Here is a 25168-nt window from a genome sequence, read left to right as displayed (position 1 = left end):
TTTAATGAAAAGCAGCCCCTAAATCCTTTTCTAACAAAAAGCAGCTGTAAAATCGTGCTGCAGACATAGACAAGCAAGTTGGAAGCTTGCATGGGTGAATGCCAGCAGTTGTGTCCATTGGAATGTACTACCTAAGACTAAGCATGTTCAAAATGGCGGCTCCGTCTTCTCTTTTTGCCAGCTATGAGTGCAGTAAGGAGAAGACAAGATGGCCAAGTGGAAAGTCCATTTGCATAATCAGATTTGGGTGGGGTGGCCAGCCTTTCTCGTGCACTACGTAAACGTCACACCTGGTCAAACCAATCTGTGAGCCCTATGTAAATCAGACACCACCTCCTCAAGCCTGCCTATAAAATACGCTGTGGTCCACCACTTTTCCCTTTTCAGATGCCTCTGTCTCACGAGAGAGAGAGCTGCTCTCCTCTCTCCTTTCTTCTGCCTATTAAACATTCTGTTCCTTAACCCACCCACATATGTCCGTGTCCTTAATCCTCTTGGCGCAAGATGACAAACCCCGGTTATTTACCCCAGACAGCAATGCCGCTTCAATAAGATAGCCACACATCACTTCCAAAAACAGGTTTAATTGATCAAATCTATTAACTAAAGTGAGCAAAACATCTCTGTTCGTTTGTCTTCGAGCTTGTGATATCCATGAATCTGACTTCAGAAGCAAGCTGCTCCAGAAACTGCATAAGCAGTCACTACTGCTGGTGCTGATTTCCTCAGCAACAAAGATTTGTTGAACACCTACTATACACCAGGCCCCGTGCTGCTGTGCATTCCAGCCACTGGCCCAGCCTCCAAGTGGTGGAGTGACCCTGGGTTCGGTCTTTGGCTCTGGTTTCTCTCTATCTCTCCAAGGGATGTATTATAAAACCATAGGTCTATAAACACCATTTATATCTCCAAACAATGTGCATCTCCAGGCCCAAGCTCCACATCTCTGCATCCAACTGCCTATTCAATTTGGAAGTCTCACTGAGATTTCAAACTGATGAGCTCCAAATGAAACTCTTGGCTCCCCCCCCCCTAATCTTTGCCCAGGCCCCCCCATTTTTGTTGCCTGCTTCACCATCCAACCAATGACAGGCTAAAAAATCAGAGTATTCCCCTTGAGTTCTCCCTTTCCCTCACATTCTATCAATTCCATCCTTCCCATCAATAAATCATCTTTGTTTTACCTTCCCAAGGTATATTTACAAGTCATTTCTCACAATCCCTCCCTAATGCCACTCACCTCCAAGGTCCCATCCCCATGTCACACTTCAGCAGCTGCCCAACTGGTCTCCATTTTCACTCATGCTCCTCAGAGTCTATTCCCTGCCCAGCAGCCAGGGTAATCTTTGCACACATTCATCAGGTCACGTCAGCCTCCAGTTGCCAACCTCCAGGGGCTTGGAGAACAGAATAAACTCCTAGGCCCTATGTGATCTAACCCTGCAATTTCTCTGGCCTCAACTGACAGGCCCCAGCCGGGTACCCCTCATCTCAGCATTAAAGGCAGTGCCTAGTGCAGAGGAGGCTCCATCAATAGTCGGCTTACGCCACTCTCCCTTCAAGCGTGTCAGCCTCCTTGCACTAACATCTCTTCTGTGTCCCTTCCCCCATTCACACAGGTGGCCCTTTCTTGTCGCTTACCTTTTGATCCAATTTGTCACTCCTCAGAAAGGTCTCCTTAGGCCCCTCCCCATCTGATCTAAATTCCCATCACTACCATAGCCCCCGTCCCATTTTCTTCACAGTGCTTATTCGCTCTGTGATGCTATACTATTTATTGACTTGTAGCCAGGCGTGGCGGCTCACGCCTGTAATCCCAGCTACTTGGGAGGCTGAGGCGGGAGGATTGCTTGAGCCAAGGCATTTGAGGCTTCAGGGAGCCGTGATTGTGCCGTTGCACTCCAGCCTGGGCATTGGAGCAAGACCCTCATCTCAAATATATAGGTATCTGTATATAGATATAGTTTATTGACTTTTATTTAGTTTTTCTGCCCCTGACTCGAAGGTAAGTTCCCTGAGAGAGGGCCATGGCTGTCTGGTTCACCACTGTATTCCTAGCACAAAGGACACTGTCTGCCATGGCTGGTGCTTAAGAGGCATCTCTGCTGGATGCGTCAGGAGTAAACCACTCCTGAACTCACTCTCAAACATTTCAGAGCCATCCTACTTTCTCTCTCATTTCATGATGCCGATTCTCTTAAAAGGGTCCATAGCATTTTTATAAATGAAAAAAAAAAAAAAGTAAGTCATCTTTAACTGTTCCTTAGAAATTCTTCAATTGCTCTTGACATCAACGAATGATCCTAAACCCTTGCGAGTCCAAGGTAGGGCACAGGGTGGCTGTGACCCTTCAGAGGAGAAATCTGCGTCCTGAATCGGTTCTAAGACTCACTTCAGAAACCACTATGGTGTGGCTTTATATGTAGGAGATGTGATTGCTGAACAGTCATAAATAAATATTTATTAAATTTGATCATATTACAAACACACTAAAAAAGTTCACATTTAAAAGGAACCCATAACAAATCTTTTTTTTTTTTTTTTTAAGATGGAGTTTCACTCTTGTTGCCCTGGTTGGAGTGCAATGGCACGATCTCGGCTCACTGCAACCTCTGCCTCCCAGGTTCAAGAGATTCTCCTGGTTCAGCCTCCCAAGTAGCTAGGATTACAGGTGCCCACCACCACTCCCAGCTAATTTTTTTTTTTATTTTTAGTAGAGACGGGGGTCTCACCATGTTGGTCAGGTTGGTCTCGAACTCCTGACCTCAGGTGATCCACCCACCTCAGCCTCCCAAACTGCTGGGATTACAGGCATGAACCACTGCACCTGGCCAACAAATCCTTTTATAAAGGGAAAATATTATGAAACTTGGTGATCACCCCTTAATTTACCGACGCTGTGGATGTCTATTTGCATAGGTTCATTTTCTTAAAGCAGGGTGCACTGATGGAGGGTACTGGAAATGAACTCTGTTTAAAAGCATGCCACAGCTCGCCAGGTGTGAGAAACTCGGCTATAAAGAAAAATTAGCCAGAAATAATCGACAAGTCATTTCTTTTGACAGATGTGTCTGTTAAAATGGCTCCCTTTTCTGGGAACCAGAAGCAGCAAAAAATTTTCTTCCACTCATTCCTGCACAGTGTCATGTTGTAGAGGATGGGGTTTAGGGCTGAATTAGCAAATGTGAAGGCCACCACCCAGAAGAAGAGGGACGGCCAGATGACCAGGTCTTGCTTGAAGTTCTGGATCAGGATGAGGAGGATGGTGATGATGATGGGGCTCCACATGATGAAGAAGGAGACCATGAGGAGGAAGAGGGTGCGGAAGAGCCGGAAGTCCTGCTGGGACACGCGGATCTGGTGGCTCTCCGAGTAGGCCAGGCTTACCGTGAGCCTCTTCCTTGATGCCTTTGTGATCTGTGGAAAACCAAAACAGGACTGGAGCCACAGGTGACCGAGGGTTGTTGGGGATTTTGAGTTAGGGGCCCAAGAGTTGGAATCTGCTATCCCCAAGGCACTGAAGCTGTGTGCCTCTGGGACTTTGTGTGCCCGAGCTTAGGATGTGCTGGAGAAATGGGACCCCGGCTGCACTCCTGAGAAATAAAGCAGAAAATCACCTACCTTCTAAACAGCGTTATGAGGGGAAGTGAAAAGCCTGAATTGGGTGGTCTACAAGAGGGACATCTTCCCTGTTATTTTTTTAAAAGAGATGTCTCTTTAATTGTTTGCAAGCACAATGTGCTTAGGGTTCAAACTCAAACAATGCTATACTGATGGGGAACAAATGAAGAACATCTGGCCTTCTCTACCCTCTATTTCCACCCTGGGAGGTGACTAACGTGAGTATTTTCCCATATGGCTTTCTGGAAATGCACCACTGCCACACACAATATTCCTGGCGTGGGATTGCAGGCATCTGCTCTTTTACCTGGTACACAGATGGGCCCACACCACGCACCACACTCCGGGCCTTGCTCCTTTTTCACCTAGCAGTATATCATGGTGCTCGGGCCATATCTGCACAGAGAAGGCACTTCATTCTTGTTATCTTCTGTAAATGGTGGTTGCAATTTATCTAGCCCCTATTGAGGAGTATTTTATTTCTTTGGCCTTGTTTGGGGAGGTAGCAGCTGAAATAGCAGTGTGCATACTCTTCCCCTCTCTCCCTATATTATTCCGTTCTCATGCTGCTATAAGGACATACCCAAGACTGGATAATTTATAAAGAAAAGAGGTTTAATTGACTCATAGTTCTGCGGGGCTGGGGAGGCCTCAGGAAACTTACAATCATGGCAGAAGGGGAAGAAAATGTTTCCTTTCTCCACACGGTGGCAGGAAGGAGAAGAATGAGAACCAAGCGAAGGGGGAGACCCTTATAAAACCATCAGATTTCATGAGAACTTACTATTACGAGAGTAGCCTGTGGGAAACCATCCCCATGATTCAATTACCTCCCACCGGGTTCCTCCCGTGACATTATGGGAACTACAATTCAAGATTATGGGGATTATGGGAACTACAATTCAAGATGAGATTTGGGTGGGGACACAGCCAAACCATATCACTCCCCTACAGGTTGTTGAGTGGGAGATGGCATACCAGTGTGGCAGGCCAGGCAGAAGGGAGCACTGGACCCCACCCTAGGTTCCTTTCCTTTTGCAGGAGCGGGAGAAAATGGATCCTAGTCTTGCCTACAGGCCCCTGAGTCAGGGGTTAAGGAAAGATGATGTGATCAGAGGCTGCTCATTTGCTGGGGCAGCTTCTGTCAGGAGCCAACCTGAAAATGAAGCTGAGTGTGGGAAGGGTCTGCCCATACCTGGTGGGAGTGGGTGTGGGAAGGGCCTGCCCATGGGTTGGAGTGGGTGCTGCTTGGGAATGATCCCCTCATCAACAGGGCCTGTTGGCACCATCACCAGACACAGGGAAATCAGAGGCAATGACCAACAGAAGGGGGCAACCACCTCATATGGGCAATCATGCAAGTTCCTTGTCCTTGTGGGAGACCAGACCACTGCCAGGGCAGCCCATCCTCCTTCTCTGTCCTCCTCCCAGCTCCAGCACCACAAACCCACATCCTACGCCTTGGGCAGGGGAAGCTTTGAACTGACTATGAGATTGACATTGTAAAATAATCAAAAAATGACTGGAAAGCTCTGTAAATCAGACATAGGTGTCATTAAAGGTGCCCCTGCCCCAGCAAGAAAGAGGAGCTTGTCAGAGCACTGCTGGTGATATTTGTGGAAAATGACCATTTTACATTTATGTCCCCTGTTGAGAGGTGGCAACTGGGGGAATAAGCCTCCTCATGCGTATCCTTGCACACCTAGGTGAGCATGTCAGTAGAATAAATTCCTACCAGTGGAGCTGCTGGGACCTCTAATATTTTGTATTAATGAGCAGGGCTGGCAGTGAAGCAGAGGCATGGCAGGCAATGAAGGCAGCCCTGGTTATGTGGGCTTAGAAGGGGATTCTGGACTCTTCTTTCAGGAGATCCTACAGGTGTCCCCCAAGACTCCTGAATCTCAAGAGGGGGAGTAATGGAAGGTAATTAACATCATTCACAGTTCAGGTAAATTTAACTGCAAGATCAGAATGGCTGAAAATATTCCCGTTAGAATACTTGTAACTAGGCTGGGCGCAGTGGCTCATGCCTGGAATCTCAGCGCTTTGGGAGGCTGAGGCGGGCAGATCGCCTGAGGTCAGGGGTTCGAGACAACCCTGGCAACATGGTGAAACCCTGTCTCTACTAAAAATACAAAAAAATGAGCAGGGTATGGTGGTGGGCACCTGTAATCCCAACTACTCAGGAGGCTGAGGCATGAGAATCGCTTGATCCCAGGAGGTGGAGGTTGCAATGAGCCGAGATTGCGCCACTGCACTCTAGCCTGGGTGACACAGTGAGGCCCTGTCTCAAAAAAAAAAACAAAAACTTGTAACTAGCTAATTAAAGGATAGTTGTTTGTTTTATGATTCAATGTGGCTGCTTGCTCTGTGCAGGAGTTTAGGTCCACCTGTTGATGGTGGAGACCAGGGCAACAGATGCTGAGTGAACAGCCTCATAGTCATACAGATCTCTAGCTTTACTGAGGGCTTCCGTGTGGCCGGCACTGTGCCGCACATTTACTTCTCAGTCGTCACATTTAATCTTCATACCTACTCTAGATTTGTACTATCATTGTTCCCACTTCCCAGATGAGGAAATTGAATTTCAAGAAATTTAAGAAACTTGTTGAAGGTCACTCCACTGATAATACAGGGTCAGAGCCCCCATCTCTGAAAATCTAGCTCAGTGGGATTAAAGATGAGACAAATTACAAAAGTCTCAAAAGGGATGGCCACACTATTCAGCTCTCCCCTCCCCTCAATGGCTCTGCAGGGTGAAGGTTGCTCAGGATACACAGGGCACCACCTCGGGCTCAAACGCCAGAGGCCATATTGGCACATCCAAGTCTGGAAGTCATTATGTAGAATCAAAACTAGAACTTGTGTTCCGGTGAAACCTGGTTAATCTAAGGAAGCTGCCTTGGCTGTTAGATCTAAGAGAATATCAGTTGGGCAGGGTGTCAGGTGGGTGGGCTGCAGAGGAATTGGTACCGCCTCTGAGTAAGGATATCGCTCTAGGCCTAAGCACAGGCTGGGGGACCCACAAGGGCTGATTCTGACAGCAGCTTCATCCCTCTTGCTGCCCACACCATCCTAAGAAGGGCGACAATGTACCCAGGGTCCCTGGTGTAGTGTCGCAAAAATACTTTTTGATGAGTGATGTTGATGAAGGCTCACATTTATGGAGCACCTACTATGTGCCAGGCCCTTACCTATCACTTAGTTTACCTTTTTAAATTCTCCCAACAATTCTGTGACATATGTACTGTGATGATCCCCATTTTACAGATGAGGAAGCTGAGGCTCAAAGAGCTTACAAAACTTGCCCACCAGTACTCAGCTAAGAAGCTGCCGAGGTGGACTGCCAACTTGGCAGCCTGACGCCAGCCCATTGTCTTTATCATAAACTAGTTCTTTCCCACTCTCTACTATCTCTGCCCATGGGAATCCTTCTGCCCAGGCTTTAACTCCAAACTCTAATGCCAGGAACTCTGAGAAGGATTCCTGGTTCATCTCCCGCTTGGCATCTTGCAGCATTTTGTTTCAGGCACTCATGCGACAGTTGCCACATACACTATGTGGTAGATGTCCAGGCGTCCTACTTTTTTTTTTTTTTTTGAAGCGGAGTCTCGCTCTGTCACCCAGGCTGAAGTGCAGTGGCGCCATCTCGGCTCACTGCAAGCTCCACCTCCTGGGTTCACCCCATTCTCCTGCCTCAGACTCCTGAGTAGCTGGGACTACAGGCGCCCGCCATCACGCCCGGCTAATTTTTTTTTTTTTTTTTTTTGTATTTTTAGTAGAGACGGGGTTTCACCGTGTTAGCCAGGATGGTCTCGAACTCCTGACCTCGTGATCCACCCGCCTTGGCCTCCCAAAGTGCTAGGATTACAGACTTGAGCCACCGCGCCCGGCCCAGGCGTCCCTCTTACCTCTGACCCGGATATGGTTTGGATCTGTATCCCTAACCAAATCTCATCTCGAATTGTAATTCCCGTAATCCCCACGTGTGGAGGGAGGATCCAGGTGGGAGGTGTTTGGATCATGGGGGCAGTTTCCCCCACGCTGTTCTTGTGATAGTGAATGAGTTCTCATGAGATCTGATGGTTTTATAAGACAGTTTTCCCTCCTCCTGCTCACTCTCTTCTCTCTCCTGCCACCATGCAAAGAAGGTCCTTGCTTCTCCTTCTGCCATGATTGCAAGTTTCCTGAGGCCTCCCCAGCCATGTGGAACCGAGTCAACTAAAGCTCTTTTCTGTATAAATTGCCCAGTCTCAGGCAGTTCTTTAAAGCAGTGTGAGAACAGACTAACACAGACCCCCACCAGACTACAGGTTCCTTGGGGGATGGGAGCTGAAGCAAGGCATGCCTGTGTCTTCTGTGACCCAGAGCCCTAGCAGGTACCTGACAATGGCTGCGGGTGACAGACAAAGTGGGCTCACTCATGGACCAAGTGCTTAAGTGGATGGATTTTTTTTTTTTTTTTTTTTTTGAGATGGAGTTTCGCTCTTGTTGCCCAGGCTGGAGTGCAATAGTGTGATCTCGGCTCACCGCAACCTCCACCTCCCAGGTTTAAGCAATTCTCCTGTCTCAGCCTCCTGAGTAGCTGGGATTACAGGCATGCACCACTACACCTGGCTAATTGTGAATTTTTAGTAGAGACGGGGTTTCTCCATGTTGGTCAGGCTGGTCTTGACCTCCCGACCTCAGGTGATCTGCCTGCCTTGGCCTCCCAAAGTACTGGAATTACAGGTGTGAGCCACCGCACCTGGCCTGGATCTTTTTTAGCACTGAGAGATGCTACTATCTCCTTCTCTCCACAGTTCCCACCACTGGTAGGGTGCGAGGAAGAAAAGGGGGCTTTATAATCAAATGTGGCTCCTCTCCTCCTCCTCTCCCCATGCTAGATGTCAAAGATAATTAACATTGATCCAGGATTTCAAATGTCTTCTGCACTGGGCAGAATGCTTGATGTGCTTTTAGATTAAACTAAATGCTCAATTAACTTTTGAGGATTAATCCTAATCCACAGAACAAGCCTCTGGGATAGGTTCTGTGGTTGCCGCAGTTTTGGAACTAAGAGGCCCTGAGAAGAGAAGTGATTTGCTTGAGCCTCACAGTCAAGTAGGGGAGTGTACCCCATGCCAGGTGCCAGTGTCTTCTCCGGTGAGGCACAGCACCTCAGCAGAGGTGGACAGCATCTGGGGAATGTGGTCCACGGCCACCGAGTACATGATGACATGCAAATGCTGGGGGGCCCCTTCAGACATTCGGATTGTGTGGGGCTGGGTGAGGCCCAGAAATCTGCAAGTTTCCTAAACTCCCCGGGTGATTCTTGCCCACTGAAGTGTCGCAGCTGCTCATCTAGGACAACAGACTCAGTCTGGAGTTCCCCTCAGTCCTTTGAGGACAGACCTTTTTGAGACTCACTGCCTCCACACCCACATGAGCTTCTGAAGACCGTGGGGTAGTCTCCACCCTACCTCACACCCTTCTGCCACCCCATGCCAGCAGACCGCTGCTGCCAACATGTGGGGATGGGTAGAGGATGTTCCCACTGACAAAGTTGGGACTCAACCCTGAAGGTTGAGTCTCCTCTGGGAGCTGCTTGGTCAATCAACAGCCTCCCTTCTAGAATCACTGGACAGAAAATTCCATCTTTCCAGAGATTCCACCTACCCTTCCACGACCAGCATGCAGGCCCCCAAAGCTGGGGAATGCAGGTCAGGCGTGGAGAAAGGGCTTTGTGTTCACTGTCTAACACCCTCATGTTCAGCGGAAACAGATTTTGTTTCTCAGTTTAGCCCTGAGGCAGGCTGAGGGTTTTCCATCTGCAAGCCATAGACTCACTTATTCGACAAATATTTATATGCCCCTGCTATGTGCTAAGCACTCATAGGTGCTGGACACACAGCAATAAGCAAGGCAGCTCCACCCACGCTGCTCTTCCATTCTGGTGCATATGTGGGCAATGAGAGGGGGATCAATAAACATCCACTGTTACAAAAGGGTAGAGGCATCTCAGTTGTCATGGCAACAGTTGCTGGGCGATGACGTCAAGCAAGCCCCAAACAGTGGTGACAGCCTGATCCGAAGGCACTTAGAAGTCGCTGGGAGGTTATTCCCTTGGGAAAACTGTTGATTGGAAAAAATATTGAAGATGTATGGCATGTTTGAGTCACAAGGAAAGAGGAAGCAGGGAGGGCAGAAGGATGAATAAGGCCACTGCTCCAAGCACATGAAGCAGCCCCTGAAGGGTGGGCAGTAGGGAAAGAGCCAGGGCGAAGCCTGCTCTGAATTCTTGCCCAGGTCAGAACCAGGAAGGAGGGTGGAGACTTTAGAGCAGGGTTTCCAAAAAGGCATTTCTTGGAGCACCAGTGCAGAGAGATGCTCTGTGGAGAAAAGGGGGTTCTGTAGTCACGTTTAGCAATGATACCTATTCTATTACTGTGTGGGAGATCCTCAAAGTATATTGGCATAATAAAGGTCCTGAGAAGTCCTGCAGCAAAGAATCCAATCTAGCCTATCCCAGCATTTCCCAAACCCTTTCTAACACCTAACATTGCCATGGCACTCTACAGAGCATTCTAGGAGACACACTGCTTTAGAGCAATAGAAGACCAGGGTGATGTGAAAAAGAGACACTTCTCAAGCCTGGAGATGAGACCTGGGTTACAGGAACTAGTGACAGGTGAGAAGTGGGACTGGTGGTGCTGTAGTGTTTGTATCCCATGGTGTCAAACAATTTGTGAATTGTCTGTTATTATGCCTAATTAACATTGATGTTCAATTGATTTTACAGAGTTATGTAAAACCAAGCTTCACAGAAAAAGCTTGGACAGAAAAGCTGACTCAGTATCTCTGAGTTACGTATATCTTCACAGGGGAGGAGATGCAAACTGAGGCCCTGCTTGCACACTCCATCCACCTGGTATAGCTTGTCTGCTTCCAAATTATCAGCCTGGCAAACTCATGGTACCAAGTGAGGACAAATGTCATAGTCCTCCTGGGAAATGGGCAACAGTGGATTTTGCTAATAACGTGGAAAGTAATTTTTAAGTGATATTTGGATTAAAATTGTGATTTTTAAAACATTATCATATCTGCTCTTTCATTTTATTGTGTTAATCCACTGAGGCATATTTGGCTCCTGCGAAACTGAGGTTCACATTACTTAAGTGACTTGCCCAAGGTCACACAGTGATAAAGCCTGGATTAGAACTTCTGTCTTAGGACTCTTTGTCCAGTGATTTTCCCACTGTCCAAGAAGAGACGACCCTGTAGACCCCTTTCAATGTGATCCAAGGCTCATGCCTCATTCATTCAACAAATATTTATTGAGCACCTACAATGAATGAGCCAGGCTCTGATCTAGGCATAGGAATATAGCAGTGAACAAACCAAAACCTCTGCTCTCATGGAGCTTGCATTGTAGTGGGCAAGACAGATGACTGTCATAAATTGAATATGACAGGTGTAGTAAGTGTTTGAAGAGAAATAAATCAGGATAAGGAATTGGAGATTGATGGGAAGACTTTTTGGTGAAGAGCTTTTTGAGTAAAAACTAAATGAAGTGGGGAAGTGACCCATGCAGAAATCTGGAGAAGAGAGATCAAGGAGAACAAGTGGCAGGTGCAAAGGCCCTGGGGCAGCAGTATGGTGGCCAGTGCGCAGTACAGCCTCAAGGCCAATGTGGACACAAGGGAGGGTGAAATATGAAGGTGAGAACGGCAGCGGGGCCAGACCACACAGGGCCTTAAGGTGAGGGTGGTGATGGAATGTAAATTACATATTTGCTCTGTTACTCTGTTACTCAGAGTGCCCTTTTACCTCACTGTGAGTCACGACAGCTCTTGCATCCAGGAGGTGTTCCGAGGTCTGTAATGGGGAGAAGTGAAGGCCGGCTGTGGGTTTAGACACAAGGTGCTTCGAGAGTAAACTGCTGTTTAGAGGTGGGTGGCTAAAAGGACAGCTGCCCCAACTCCTCAGGTCTCAGAATTTTTCCAGGTGGACCCTGGCCTTGAGAAAAAGATGGGGGTGGGTGGAAAATCATTCCTTCCTCAGCAGGCAGCTGAGAAGCGTGAGGTACGAGTGAAAAGGGGCAGACCAGAGCCCTCTTGGCGCCTAAGGAACTCAGGAGTGAGACCTCCAGGAAGGAGGTCAAATGCTGCCGCCCCTTCCAGCCAGCCCTGCTCTAGCATCAATTCCTTGTTCTTGATGTGCTCCAAATCTGGGCTGTTGTTTATCCTCTTGCAAATCTTAGCAGCACCTTTTCCCAGCATGCTCTGAGACAGGGGTCGGAAGAGCAGCCTTGCCTAACAAATCACGACCGTCATAATTTATTCATCACCTGCTACAGGCAGGCATGGCTCTCTCTGTCCCATCAGTAGCATCTCCTACATGCCTCACAACAACTCTGTACTGCTGGCATTATGTTTGCTATTTTGCAGATGAGGAAACTGAGGCCCAGAGATGGTAACTAAGCTGGCCAAGGCCACACAGCAAGTAAGTGGCAGATTCAAGACTCAAACCCAGATTATTAAAATAACACTGTCAAGTCTCTGTGTCTGTCTTCATGGCCTTTTGTTTTTCTCGTTTTTTTTTTTTTTTTTTTTTTTTTGAGAGGGAATCTCACTTTGTTGCCCAGGCTGGAGTGCAGTGGCACGATCTCGGCTTACTGCAACCTCCTCTTCCTGGGTTCAAGTGATTCTCCTGCCTCAGCCTCCACAGTAGCTGGGATTACAGACGCCCACCACTACGCCCGGCTGATTTTTGTATTATTAGTAGAGACGGGCTTTCACCATGTTGGCGAGGCTGGCCTTGAATTCCTGACCTCAGGTGATCCACTGGTCTCACCCTCCCAAAGTGCTAGGATTACAGGCGTGAGCTACCACACCTGGCCTGCTCTTCTTTCTTATACCCCTTATTCGTCCCTTACGTTTGTGTAGCATTTAACAGTTTGCAAAGTGTTTGCAAAGTCTCAGTATCATTCCACCTTGTGTTCAGTTTCTCTCCTTTCGATATCAGCACCCTTGTCTGTCTCCTCCCTCTTCCCCTTTTATGTCAAAGCTTCTTCTGGATAGAGAATGTGTCTTGCTCGGTTTTTAGCCCACCTCCCTTCCCCCAAGCACTTCGCACAGAGCAGGCCCTTAACACATGTCTGAGGAATTAATGCATTGGGACTCTAGGGTCAGACTGCCTGAATTTAAATCCTGATTGCCACTTACAAGCTGTGTTACCTTGGGTAAGTTACTTAACCTCCCTGTGCCTGGGTTTCTTCATCTGTAATTCTTATCAGAATTAAAGAGTCAGTTCCTGGCATATGGTCAACACTATGTAAATATTTGTTAAATAAGTTCTACATTTATCTTCCTTTTTCTCTCACCTCTTTCCTTTTAACTTAATGATAATAGCTAACACTTACATAGCACTATCATATGCCTGGTCCCATCGCAAGCACTGTCCAGACCTTAACTCCAGGCCTGAATCTGCCTCCTGCACTTGAACAAGCCTCAGGCTGGGTGTCACTTTAGTGGTCATTGGGTGGGCAAGAGTCTAATGAGTGACATGGAGGGGCCATCTCCCACAGGACCCAGGGATTAGCAGACCTGGATGGAGGTTGGCCTGGCTATGGGTTCTGAGCGTCTAAGAAGGTTACAGACCCTTAGCTGCAAAGAAAGGGCCATAAAAGTGACCAGAGAGTGAGCAGGCCCTACAGGGCACCACTTCAAGTGCCTACTTGCCAGATGACCCACACATGAGATGCTATAAAACCAAGATTCAACAACTATAAACCTCCACGAGGATTCAAGGGCTTTGCATTAAACCTTCTAAAATGGGCATAAACATGGATGCACCCATGCTGTTTGCCTGGGCAGGCAACTTACTCACAAATGGGCTACCTTACGAGATATAAAACAGGCTGACTCGTCCTTTTTATGTCCCTGTACATATTTGTTTTAAAGGTAGAGATCATTTCCTGTTTCAGTGCACATTTGAAATGGGCATTCCCTGGGGGTGGGTGGAGTAGCAACTGGAAGATAATAGGAGGGACTTCTGGTAATATTCCATTTCTTGACCTGGGAGCTGCTTTCATGAATGCACTCAGTTTGAGCCTACACCTATGCTCAGTGTGCTTTTTATATATGTATATAATACTTCAATAAAATGTTTTAAAAAGTATACATTCTCCAGTACTGCAGTGTTTGCGATGGGGAAACAATGGACACAGCCTAAAAGACCATAAAATAAATGAAGTCATATCTGTAGCCACTAAAAATAATGAGTTAGAGATATAGGAATGATGTGGAAAGATGTTAAGATATAATGTTAAGTGAAAAAAGGAGTTACAGAGCAGAGAGTATTATCTCATATCTGAAAAGAACATTGAACAGTGTCAGATAACCATTTGACCATTTTAACCTGCAATTTCATATGGTTCATCAAATACACACACAGTATACATGACATATACATAAGCTTATAAGAAAAATAACCTGAAAAAATACATCTTGAATTGTTAAGAAGGTAGAGTAAGTTTTCAGTTTCTGTGTTATTTACATTTATGTGTCTGCTTTCATTTTAATTTAATTTTTTGTAATGACCTAGTATTACTTTAGTGATGAGCAAAAACATAATCACAAAGATATAACTTCTAAAAAAATCCTCTCCTTCCTCAGTGTTGTAGACCTGGGCAGTGAATCAAGATTGAGCTGGCGTGAACTCTTAGGTGTTCTCCGACCCCAAATTCTAAGATTCTAGCAGAAATAACCCCAAGCCTGGGTGAAGTTCAGTGGCAGCACTTGCAGAAAACATACCTGTAAAATTTTGGAGTAACTGATCACAATGACCAGTCCTGGCACCAAGAAGTTCAAAGTAACAAAAGAGACATCCCACGAGATCTCTCCAGGAATGGTGGGCCAAATCAGTGTGCAAATCGAAATTTCCTAGTTACAAAAAGGAAAAGAACATCATGTAAATGCTGGCTTCTTATTGGCCTCTGGCTCAGTCTTATTGAGGGTTTCCTGACACTTACACGGTTGCATTGCCCAGTTACACAACTAGCATGACAGTGAACCCCAGAATCCCTCCCACTGCCCACCACAATCCCACTTGCAAAGCACTTGCCCCTGACCCTCAGAATAGCCATGATTATGTTTTCTGTTCTCCAGGGACAGCAACTGAGCCTCAGGCTTACAGGGTGGTAAGAGCTAGAGTCGGTTCCTAGGTGTGGTCTTTCCACTTCCCTGGGCTGACATGCAAAGGGCTTTCGAGCCTTCTCTTCCAAGCCTGCCATTTTACAAAGGAGAAAACTGACCCCTGAAAGGTTACAGAGATCGGAAAGGACATGCTACATAACAAACATATCAAAACAGGAACGAGGTTTCCCTGTAGTCACAACTGTGTAAGCTGAAGGACACAGGGTCTTTGCTAAAGCATTAAGTATTCATGCTGGGGGTGCTCAGGTGTCTAAAGTGTGTCGAGCTGCATCAACCTGGCCATCTAGAGCCCCAAGGCAAAGATCAGCCTCCACTCACAGACAGTTCAAGATGTAAAACCAATGGAATATGGCAGAAGAATGTGAAGGTTTGTGATCTTGCTGCTATCACTATGTTGTATTGATCCAAATGTTTAACACTAACTGCAAGAACTGCAACATATGGAGACCTTACTGAATAGTTACAAATAGCTTCTGCAACAATTTCATCCAATGAATAAATAGGCCAATGAAAACAGACATATATCTGTGTGTCTGTATATACTAACTTCCCACATATAAACTTCCTATGCCCACTTGACTACAGAAACAAAACTGTCTAGAAAACAAGTGGCCCTAACACACACATATAGAATAGATTATTTTTAAGAGCACGTGCTGTGTAAAAAGACCACGTTATTGATTTTGAAGGGCCAAGGCATCTTAACCAATGTCTAGGAGTAGCATGATCATCTGAAGTACCATTCATTCATTCATTCACTTGACCAATATTCATTGAACGCTCTACTAGGCAAAAGCAGAGAATTTTTAGCAGTGAATCAAGACTGGGCTGGTGTGAACACATGGTAGGGGGAAGTTCATTAAATCCTTCCACATTTTGGTGACTGGAAAGAAACCTGTTTTGTTTTGTTTTTTTTCTTTGAGACAGAGTCTCACTTTGTTGCCAGTCTGGAGTGCGGTGGCGCGATCTCGGCTCACTGCAACCTCCGCCTCCCAGGTTCAAGCGATTCTCCTGCCTCGCCTCAGCCTCCCGAGTAGCTGGGACCACAGGAGCACGCCACCATGACCAGCTAATTTTTTTTTTTTGTATTTTTAGTAGAGACGGGGTTTCACCATGTTAGCCAGAATGGTCTCGATCTCCTGACCTTGTGATCCGCCCGCCTTGGCCTCACAAAGTGATGGGATTACAGGCGTGAGCCACCATGCCCGGCCAGAAACCTGTTTCTTTCAAGGATCTTCTGATTACTGGCAGTGAGGCTACTACTGCTCTCCAGAAAACCCGCACCACCTCCTTTTGTACTCAGGCCTCTGCCCACTATGGACCCCTCATTCCAAGACAGCAGTAGCAATACATATGAGCAGGTATGCTGAAGCATCAATCGGAAGAAATGGATTCCAGCCCTGAATGTGACTTGGTCTCTCATTCCTATTCTTGTGATGGAAAAATTTTAAGGGAGAGTAGAAAAACAGAGGACACACAGAAGCTTTTCTTAAGACCCCCAACTCTTTCCAAAAGCCTTTTCCAGAATGTCTGCCAAAATCTCTCCAGGGTTAGCAAGACTTTTGTGGAGGGTATAATGATAGAGCAAGGTGTTCTCTCTACAGTAGGAGTGAAAGAAAAAAGCAGGTCCCTAAACCATGTGCTTCTATGATCCCAGTGTGTTGAAGAGAATGTATATGTGTGAATGAGTATATGGCCATCCAACACACACACGCACACACACACTTTCTCTCTCACATACACTCACGTGCTCGCATGCACAGAAAAAAACATGGAAGGATACAATCCAGAAAGTGAAGTGTCTATTTCTAGGCAGGACTCTCAAATTGTTTTTATTCTTGTGGCTTATCTGAATTTCCTAATTTTCCATGATGTGCCTATATTACTTTTATAAAAGAAAAAAGTTCATTTATAAGTGAAATGATGATCAAACATGAAACACAGACCACCATGATAGTTCTGCCAACTTTACCAGCTATTTTTCAACAGAAACAATGAACCTGTCCCAGGCAGCTCCCAAATTCCGTGACTTTAATAAAGACGCTCGTTCTCCTTTTGATTTGTGGCTCTTGCTCAGGGCAGGAAGTGTGATAAGGAAGTAAGATAAGAACTCTGCCTGGCACCCCCACACATGAACTGAGAGGCAGTGCAACTGGCTTGGGGGCCTGAATGATGGATTGACATGCTCTTTAGAAGGTTTTGTATGGTATTGTTGACTAAATGCACTGTCTGGTCTCATTAAAAAATAAAATAACAGGTGCCATGCCCACAGAGATCCAAGTTGGTGTCATAACTTGGTTTCTGTGGGAAAATCCATTTGGCTTAAGTCGTTTTGATTCTAGGTATTCTCCCGCAGGCTGTGACATGTAGAGGAGTTAGGCAGCATGTCAAGTCTGGAAGGTGGGGATGTGAGTCCTATTATATTCTCTGTACTTTTTCTGCACATGTGAAATGTCCCCTGATTTTAAAAAGGGAACTTGGAAAACAAAAGTGGCAGGCCTGCCTTGTTACTGAGTTACAGAAGCAGAATTGGCAGAGTCAACAATAGTCTTCTTTAATTCATTTGCTCAACCACCCGACTCCAGACGTGGTGGCTGACCACAGCGAAGCCACAGTGAGGAAGAGCAAGGCGCTGGCCCTTTCCTCCAGGAGGGAGGGAGGCAGAGAAGCGCTAGGACACTTCAGGACAGGACAAGCAGCTGGAAGTGCCCAGAGAGCTTCAGAGGACCAGAGAGGGTAGAGCCACCCAGGGGGGGTTGTTTCTGCTATGCCTGGAAGGACCGCGGCCAGGGGCATAGGGAGGCTGGAGCTCAGCTGTCAGAGCAGAATTGTGGGATGAAATTGGGAGGCCACTCACAGTGAAGGGATAAGTGTGACTTGGATCCCCCAAATGTGTTCTGCCTCATCCCAGTCTCCACTTCTCCCTGGCCATCTCACTCATTTCCACGGCTCCTTTTGCAGGTAAAGCTCCAATCTACTCTTTTCAGCTGCATGCTTTCCTGAACCCCAGACTTGCCCAATAGCCATGAGGACATCTCAGCAGGAGGCCTCATAGGCGCATTAAGCTTTGAAGGTCCCATCCTCAAATGGTTCCACCTGATTCCTGCACTCCCTGAATCAGGGCACAGGGCCACCATTCTCCAAGCTGCCAGAAACCTGAGCACTGGCCTTCTGCCCACCTCCTCCTCCCCACTCAGAAGGGATCTCTAAATTCCTCCTTCATAGCCATTGACTTATCCACCTATTGCATTTTCACTGGCCTACCCCCAACCCTTACCAAGACCAGGCCATCACCATTAAGTCTAAACTTCCTACCAGGATGACTCTGGTCCTTCTCCCTCTCCTCTGCCAACGCTTCCAGCACCGTCTTTTGCCCCCACTGAACCTCAGGCTCTACACATGTGTGGTGGAGAACCCCTTGCAAGTTTCAGAACAGCACTCACTGCTCCTTTGGCCTCCATGTGGACTCTCCTCTGCCTACAATGTCCTCCTCGTCTCCATCCCCTTGCCTGGTTTACTTCCTCTCATCTTCACACTCAGTGGGGACACTGCCATCTCCCAGTAGCTTCCTGGACTCCCCACACCCAGCAGAGACCTTTCCACAGCTCTCCAAAGCTTGTGCAATCATCCCCTTCCCTGTCTGGAGTCCCCACTGAAGTGTGTTACTAAGGGTGGGGACCAAGCCTGCCTTTTTCCAGCCAGCATCCCAGCACCTAGAATTCTGCCTAATACACATTAGGTGCTCAGGACAAAATTGCCAAATGACTTTTCTAAGGAGACTCCCCTTGAGGATGGGGACATCTGTCCACAGGCACTGTGGAAATGCTGACCCTCCCCACACTGCCTGACTTATTTGCAAACACTGCCTGTTTGCAAATAAGTTCTAGCTGTTTGTTCCAGCTGTTTGCCTATCAGTCTCTCTGATGATTCTTCCTGCAGTACCTCTGGAGACCCTTGGTAGATCCTTGTTCCTGTGTCTCACCTCTGCCATCAACATGGAAGACTTCAAGATTATTTTAAGAACCTAGGAGTCCTAGTTGGATATTTCATCTTCTATCAGCTTCCCAGCAAAAAAGAGAGAAAATATTAATGCAAGAGATGCTTCCTTTCTTATATTTCAAAAGTATTCTCTAATCATAACAAAAGCAAGCAAACTGTGTTTGTTTCCTCAGACAATCCACACTCAGCAGAGACACATGAACGTTCACATGACTAGCCTGGTATTAAATTAGGGTAGGGTGGGGCAGTGGGATCAAGTGCCGCAAGGGAGTATAAACCCAAGGGTGACGGTATCCAGAGGGACCCAAAAGAGTGGGGCTAAATTCTGGTTCCATCTCTTGCAATTCTGTGACCTTAGGGATTTCCTCTTTTAGAATAAACAAAAGAATATGGGGTGGGGTGACTGTGAGGACCAAATTAGGCCAGAATCTAGGACCATCTGTGTGCTTCTCCTTGAAGAGAAGGAGGTGGATTTACGTGATTTGTGGCAGGGGCAAGAGGGGAAGGGTGCTTAGTAAATGTTTGCAGAATGAATGGGCAGCACATTCTGGCCAGGATAGACAGTCTTCTCCACCTGCCGATGTGGGTCACTGCCCAGCCAGGTCCACAGCACACACAGGCTGGAATCCTGTTGAAGCAGGGTGAGCTGACCTGGCTGAGATGTCAACGTTGCTAGGATGTGTTCGCCCTCTTAAAATGGCAGTCTGTTATTTTACAGCAATCAGAAGAATTATACTGTTTGAAGAATGTTTAAAATGTCTATGTTCAAAGATAAGGAAACTAATAATAGCTAGCAATTCTTATGTGCTTAACTGTGTATGTGCCAGGTGTTGGCCCATTTACTGAACATGAGTGCCCATGATGATCCGGTAAGGTTGGTTGATACTGTAATCATGCCCATTTTGCAGAAGAGGAAAGTGAGGTATTGAGAGGTTAGACAGCTTGGATTCTGTCATGAAGCTCCCGAATGGCAGAGATGGGATTTAAACAGAATGTTTGACTCCAAAGCCCACTCCAAATACCAAGTTGTCTCACATTTCTAGGATATTTATCACCTCATCTTCTCTTCAGTGAAGTTTTAGAGTCTGATTACCATGAACTACTGGGCACCCACAGCCCACATGGACAAGAGATTGAGTTTCTGTTTCAGGAAGGCTCTTGGGTCGGCAGAAGCTCTAAGGGGCAGTTTCCTTGGCCAGCGCTCCTTGAGGGGAGGGAGCCAGTATCTGCTTAGGCTTGGTTGATTCTCTCAGCGTGTGGTTTGGGTTAGGAAAATATCCCCCATCCCAAACCTCCATATTTAGTCTCTAAGTGGGATGGGGCAGACAGAATCCACAAGCAGAAAGCTGGGAATATGGGGATTGAGAAAACAAGCCTTTGCTAATTTTAAATGTGAGACTCAGTCAGTCTAGACCAGATCCTCCTGTTGCTTTTTTTTTTTTAATGACTACACTCCCCCTTTGTTTTTTTCTGTCTCTCATTCTTTTCAACTTATTTCTTCAACTGCTGAACCTATAATATTGGATGTTTTCTATGTATTCAGGCAACAACCCTTAGGAAATTGGGTTTTTTCTGTTTGTTGGGTTCCTGGGCAGGTAGGTGTGAAAGTGTGTGTGTGTGTGTGTGTGTGAGAGAGACAGAGACAGAGAGAGAGAGAGATGAGGTGGATGTGGCAGACAGGTAGGAAAGAAGACAAAGAAGATGGAGAGCCAGAAAGGATTGTCCCATTTTTTTTAATTTAAAAAAAATTTTTTTTTTTTGAGATTGAGTCTTGCTTTGCTGGCCAGGCTGGAGTGCAGTGGTATCATCTCAGCTCACTGCAACCTCCACCTCCTGGGTTCAAGCAATTCTCCTGCCTCAGCCTCCCTTGTAGCTGGGACTACAGGTGCATGCCACCACACCCAGCTAATTTTTGTATTTTTAGTAGAGATGGGGTTTCACCACGTTGGCCAGGCTTGTCTCCAATTCCTGACCTCAAGTGATCCGCCCACCTCAGCCTCCCAAAGTGCTGGAATTACAGGTGTGAGCCAGCATGCCCAGGGATTTTTTTTTTTTTTTAATTTCAAGCTTTCCCACCTCACCTCTACTAATTTCAGTGAGTAGGGCTCCTGTGGGTAACTAACTCACCTGGCCCCCAGTGCACACTGCAGCCTCATTCTCTCCCAGTGGCTTTGCCCAAATCCCTCTCCGAAGCTGCTTAAAACCAAGGAAGTGTTTCAACATTAAAACAAAGGAGGTCTGTGTGCCCAGCCATCACAACACAGACCTCCACGGAAGCACCTTACAGCACAACTGTGGCCACTCTGGAAGCACCACAGAGGGCTCTAACCACACCCAGATTCCCTAACAGTGGTGCGGTACTAAGTGGCCAAGACATGGAAGGCCCCTGCCTATGCCAAGGCCTTCTCACCCAAACAGTCACCTGTGTCCCTGTCAGCACACAATTTTAGTCTGGGCTCTGGCTGGGAAGTGACAAGAGTCTTATTTTTTAATGTCATTTGCCAATTAATTAGGGTTATACTTGAAATCACTGAAAAAAGGGAGAGGCACAAAATACACATCTGAAAACTTAAGATACCTTCAAGATACATTCTATCTGGTCTTTCATTCCCTGAACATCATTTTCTCCTGTAAGAAAGAAAATGAGGTGAAATACCTCAAGTTCTGTGAGAAATATAGAAGTACTGTGACTCACTGAGAGAATAACTTTTAAAAAAATCAAAGAAACTGATGGCAGAAGCCCAGCCCCCTCCTGATCCTTGCTTTTAGAGGCATCTGCGTGGCCCACCTTGATTCTCAGGTGTGTGTGGGCTAAGAACAAGCCTGTCCACTAAGCCAGAGCCCTTGGTCTGCCCATAAATGGCACCCACCAGCTCAGCTAATCCTGGCTTCTCTGGGCCCCACTTGAGTGGACATGGCCACAAGCTTGCATGTTATTTGATCAAGTGCCACAGGCTTGATGGGGCTCCTGCCTATTAGTCATTCAAGCTCATAAACAAACAAACACCCCACAATGTATTCCACACAAGCATTAGAAACAAGTGTTTAAGTTTGATTTATGTTTAAAAAAAAAAATCTCGCACAGGATACAGGAGGCAGACTCCATCCATCCTACCCCCAATAAAAGGGCTGTGTGAGAGACTGGTCTGGGAAAACCCCCAGAGAAGCTCCACCTCTCTGTCTCAGGCTCTGGAGGGTCACACAGTCAGGGGGTGTCCCTGGTGGGCTGTGTGCATCTCCATAACCAAGCCTTCCCCTGGTGACATGTCATTTCTCCCTCCCTACTCCCCTCTCTGACCACTTCGAAGGTCCCTCTTTGGGACCGTGATTCCTGTTTGTGCCACGATTACTCAGGGCGCCCCATATTCACTCCTAGGTGGAGAGGGAGCTTAAGGGTAGGGGGTTCCAGGCCGGAAAACCAGTGACCCCGGCAGGGAAGGGGAGGCCAAGAACCCAGCCACGGGCAGAAGCTCCTGGAGGCTGAGCCCCCAGCGCACAGACCTAAGTCCTTTCTCTATCTCTCTCCGCGAGGCATGGAGAACCAAACACACTGGGAAGACAGCCAGACGGCGGCCACTGTCCTCCACCGTGACTCCGCGTCTAGATTCCCTCTTCCGTGTGGATCCCGGCGCACGAACCCTGCAACCACCGGGCAAAGCGGCAAGAGAAAAAGACCCGAGCTCGGGATTCCGGACCGCGGGACTTGAGGGGAACAGAGCCAATGTCCTGCACTATCCGCAGAACCTTATTCCGATCATGGTCACTCCCACCCCTATGAGCTAATAATGACAACTATTGACCCGCTATGTAAAACAGAGCTCGTCGGTCCAGCCTCTGTAATCTGCACATTTCAGGCGCCCAGGACACCTCGAAGGTCTAGTGTAATCCTTCCGTTTTGCAGCTGAAAAAACTGAAGACCCCGGAAGGGAATTCTGTCACAAGTCCCCTAAAGACAGCATTGCATCTGGGGTCCCCGGGTCTCACATGCCTGTCCGCGCGCTTTCAAAGCAGGACCATAACCCAACCCTGGACAGGAGCCCAACTCCTCCTTGAATTACGGGTAAACTTCTGGAAGGAGCCCATCTCCTCCTCGAATTACGGATAAAATACTCTGGGCAAGTTATTATACACTTCGGTGTGCCTCTGGTTCTCATCTGTGAAATGGGTGTGATAATAACAGTATTGTAGCACCTGGCGAGGAATCATGATTCAATACAAAGTGTTTGGCCACCCTGCACCCCCAAAGTTCCGTCTCGCTCCTAAACTACTCGTTAATTAACCTCGCAACAGTCATTGCATTTTGCAAGAATTTGGGGGACTCCACTTACATCATTTAGGAGGGCGTGTGCACAGCGTTGTAGTGAGATTTAAGAGATTAAACTTCACAGCCATGGGCACAAGATTTGGCACAACGATTAAGTGCAATAAATGGCTATTGTTGTTCTTGATCATCCTCATCCCAGCTTCCGTCGGGGCCCCGCTTCCCAGCCTGCGCAGGACACCTGCCCGGCACACACAGAGGGGCGCTCACCTGGTCGGCGCCGGGGAGCCGTTGCGGGACGACTCGGAAGAAGACGCAGAGAGGCAGAGCGGCGACCGCCGAATAGCCCCAGATGAGCGCCAGCAGCACTGCCCGCGCCCGCCGCCCAGGACCCCGCACGCCGCGCTGCAGGTGCACGATGCACACCATGCGCTCCAGGCTGACCGCGGCCAGCGTGAGGATGGTGACGCTGCCGCTCAGGGTCATCACGTAGAAGAGCAGGTGGCAGGCAACGGGGCCCAGCAGCCAGGCCTCAGTCCAGCGCACGGCCAGCACCAGAGGGATAGCGCTGATGAAGAGCAGGTCCGCGCAGAAGAGGTTGAGTACCAGGCAGGCAGTCGCGCCGCGGCGTCGTCGGCGCGCCACCAGCACCAGGGCGCACACGTTGCCCAGCAGCGACACTGCAAAGATGAGCACCAGCACGGTTGTCTCCACCGCGGCCAGCACCAGCCGGTGGTCGCCCTTGACGTCGGAGAAGAAGGGAAAGCGGGTGCGGTTGGCTTGCTCCAGGCTGCGCAAGGGCGCGTCGCCCGCTGCCCGCGCGCATTCAGGGGACATTCCCGGCGCCTGGCGGCCCGCAGCGGTCTGAGAGAGTGCTCATCTGGGAGGCGACTGAGTGCCAAGGCGGGGAAAGAGGGAGGGAGGCGGTTGCGACATCTCGCCTCTGGCCCCCTCCCTTCTGAGGAGCGCCAGCACTGGGTGCAGGGAGCTGCACCCGGGGCGCGCGGGAACCAGGAAGTGCCCGGCAACACTGGCCGCGAACACCGCAGCTGGCCGGGGAGGTGGCGGCCAAGGCGGAAGCCTCGTGCCCTCTGGCCCTTTGAAAGTGTATCCAGAAGCCAGAAAACTCACTTAGCGAATTCCTCGAGCCCCCGCAGGGCCTGCCCAACCTCCTTTATTTTTCAGGGACACTGGATGTGCGAAGCCTTTTGTGAACGGATTTAGCTAAAATTGATTTAAAAGGGTCAGAGCTGGCCTTTGGAGATTATTTTGGCCTGTGTCGTTCAGGCTTTACTAAAGAAACTCCATGGGTCTGGAGGTAGATCCTAAAACAACTTGTAATGAGTCCATATTTTTTGTGGGGGAGAGAGGGAGTGGAGATCTTTTATCACTACTTAATAACAGGTCTTTAGGTGGATTATCTACTCCCTCTACCCCAGATTTTTAATCTATAAAATGGGAATAATAATACCCCATTAGGTTATTGTGAGGCTCACCTAGAGTTTTGCACACTTGGCACACAGTAATTACTCGTTAAATGTTATCAAATATTAGTTATTGTAACTAAAATGCATATACATTTTGCATTCTGAACAATGACATAAATGCTTTCTTATAAAAAGAGTGAGTCCTTCCAAAATTTTTAATAAACTTGCCATCCAAGGAAGACAGATATTTCAAGGCTGGCAGATTCACACACAAGCTATGAATGTGCCCCAGGTGCCACAGTTTGAGGAGCACTGGGCAATCCAGTCCCGTTAGAGATAAGGAAACTGAGGCCCAGCCAGAGTGACTTGTCTAAGCTGTCCTCTGGTTAGTAATGAAAGCCAGTCACCTGTCCCCGTCCCACACATTTCCATCACACCACTGCAGTCTCGTTTTCTGTAAATGAGGAAGCTGGAGATGGAAAAGTATGCCTGTGGCCTAAGATCCAGTGGCCACTTCCCCAACCAGCCACCCTCCTGCCACCCACACCTTCACCCCCTCTTCCCTCTGCCATATTACCAGGCCTCTCCCAGTTGCCCACTCTGTCTTCTAATTGTCTTTCTTAAGGTTGGGTCTTAAGAAATCTAAGCACTGACTGGGCACA

The 25168-nt window shown here is 47.8% G+C and overlaps 1 protein-coding gene and 1 long non-coding RNA gene across 5 annotated transcripts, besides 2 other annotated features; one reads left to right on the top strand and one right to left on the bottom strand.

Annotated features, from left to right (window-relative positions):
- FFAR4 (free fatty acid receptor 4) lies at window positions 565–23972 on the bottom strand. Of its 3 annotated transcripts, NM_181745.4 has the most exons (4): window positions 23350–23972; window positions 14418–14546; window positions 11431–11478; window positions 565–3417 (listed from the first exon to the last, which is right to left on the bottom strand). In NM_181745.4, exons 1-4 carry the CDS (start codon window positions 23914–23916, stop codon window positions 3028–3030), a joined length of 1134 nt encoding a protein of 377 aa, NP_859529.2. In that variant the 5' UTR covers window positions 23917–23972; the 3' UTR covers window positions 565–3027. The 3 variants fall into 3 exon arrangements, with proteins under 3 accessions (NP_859529.2, NP_001182684.1, XP_011538048.1); NM_001195755.2 differs by lacking the exon at window positions 11431–11478; XM_011539746.4 differs by lacking the exon at window positions 565–3417 and having other exon boundaries at window positions 9902–11619.
- Window positions 8917–9122: a silencer, noted in NCBI's record as "fragment chr10:95341272-95341477 (GRCh37/hg19 assembly coordinates)". NCBI's record gives its function as "represses an EF-1alpha promoter that drives an FKBP-Casp9 reporter gene in an ReSE screen in K562 erythroleukemia cells {active_cell/tissue: K562}" and the evidence as "EXISTENCE:reporter gene assay evidence [ECO:0000049][PMID:32094911]".
- On the top strand, window positions 9744–10560 carry LOC124902485 (uncharacterized). Of its 2 annotated transcripts, none has more exons than XR_007062250.1 (3): window positions 9744–9909; window positions 10182–10291; window positions 10485–10560. It is a non-coding gene; the product is annotated as an uncharacterized LOC124902485 (long non-coding RNA). The 2 variants fall into 2 exon arrangements; XR_007062249.1 differs by having other exon boundaries at window positions 10403–10552.
- Window positions 23732–24570: an enhancer, noted in NCBI's record as "H3K27ac-H3K4me1 hESC enhancer chr10:95325824-95326662 (GRCh37/hg19 assembly coordinates)". NCBI's record gives its function as "activates a minimal SCP1, AML or CMV promoter by ChIP-STARR-seq in naive H9 embryonic stem cells {active_cell/tissue: H9 hESC(naive)}" and the evidence as "EXISTENCE:reporter gene assay evidence [ECO:0000049][PMID:30033119]".

This window comes from Homo sapiens, chromosome 10 (genome assembly GCF_000001405.40).
Source record: "Homo sapiens chromosome 10, GRCh38.p14 Primary Assembly".
In the NCBI taxonomy this organism is placed as follows: Eukaryota; Metazoa; Chordata; class Mammalia; order Primates; family Hominidae; genus Homo; species Homo sapiens.
The sequence above is the reverse complement of the archived record's forward strand: the minus strand, read 5'-3'. Positions and strand labels throughout refer to the sequence as shown.

Excerpts from the sequence above, each read along its gene's own strand:
- FFAR4 (NM_181745.4), bottom strand. The coding sequence starts at position 23,916 with ATGTCCCCTGAATGCGCGCGGGCAGCGGGCGACGCGCCCTTGCGCAGC. Across the intron at positions 14,547-23,349 it reads GGCTCCCCGGCGCCGACCAG|GAAATTTCGATTTGCACACT; the intron begins GTGAGCGCCCCT and ends TTTTGTAACTAG. Across the intron at positions 11,479-14,417 it reads GTTACTCCAAAATTTTACAG|ACCTCGGAACACCTCCTGGA; the intron begins GTATGTTTTCTG and ends TCCCCATTACAG.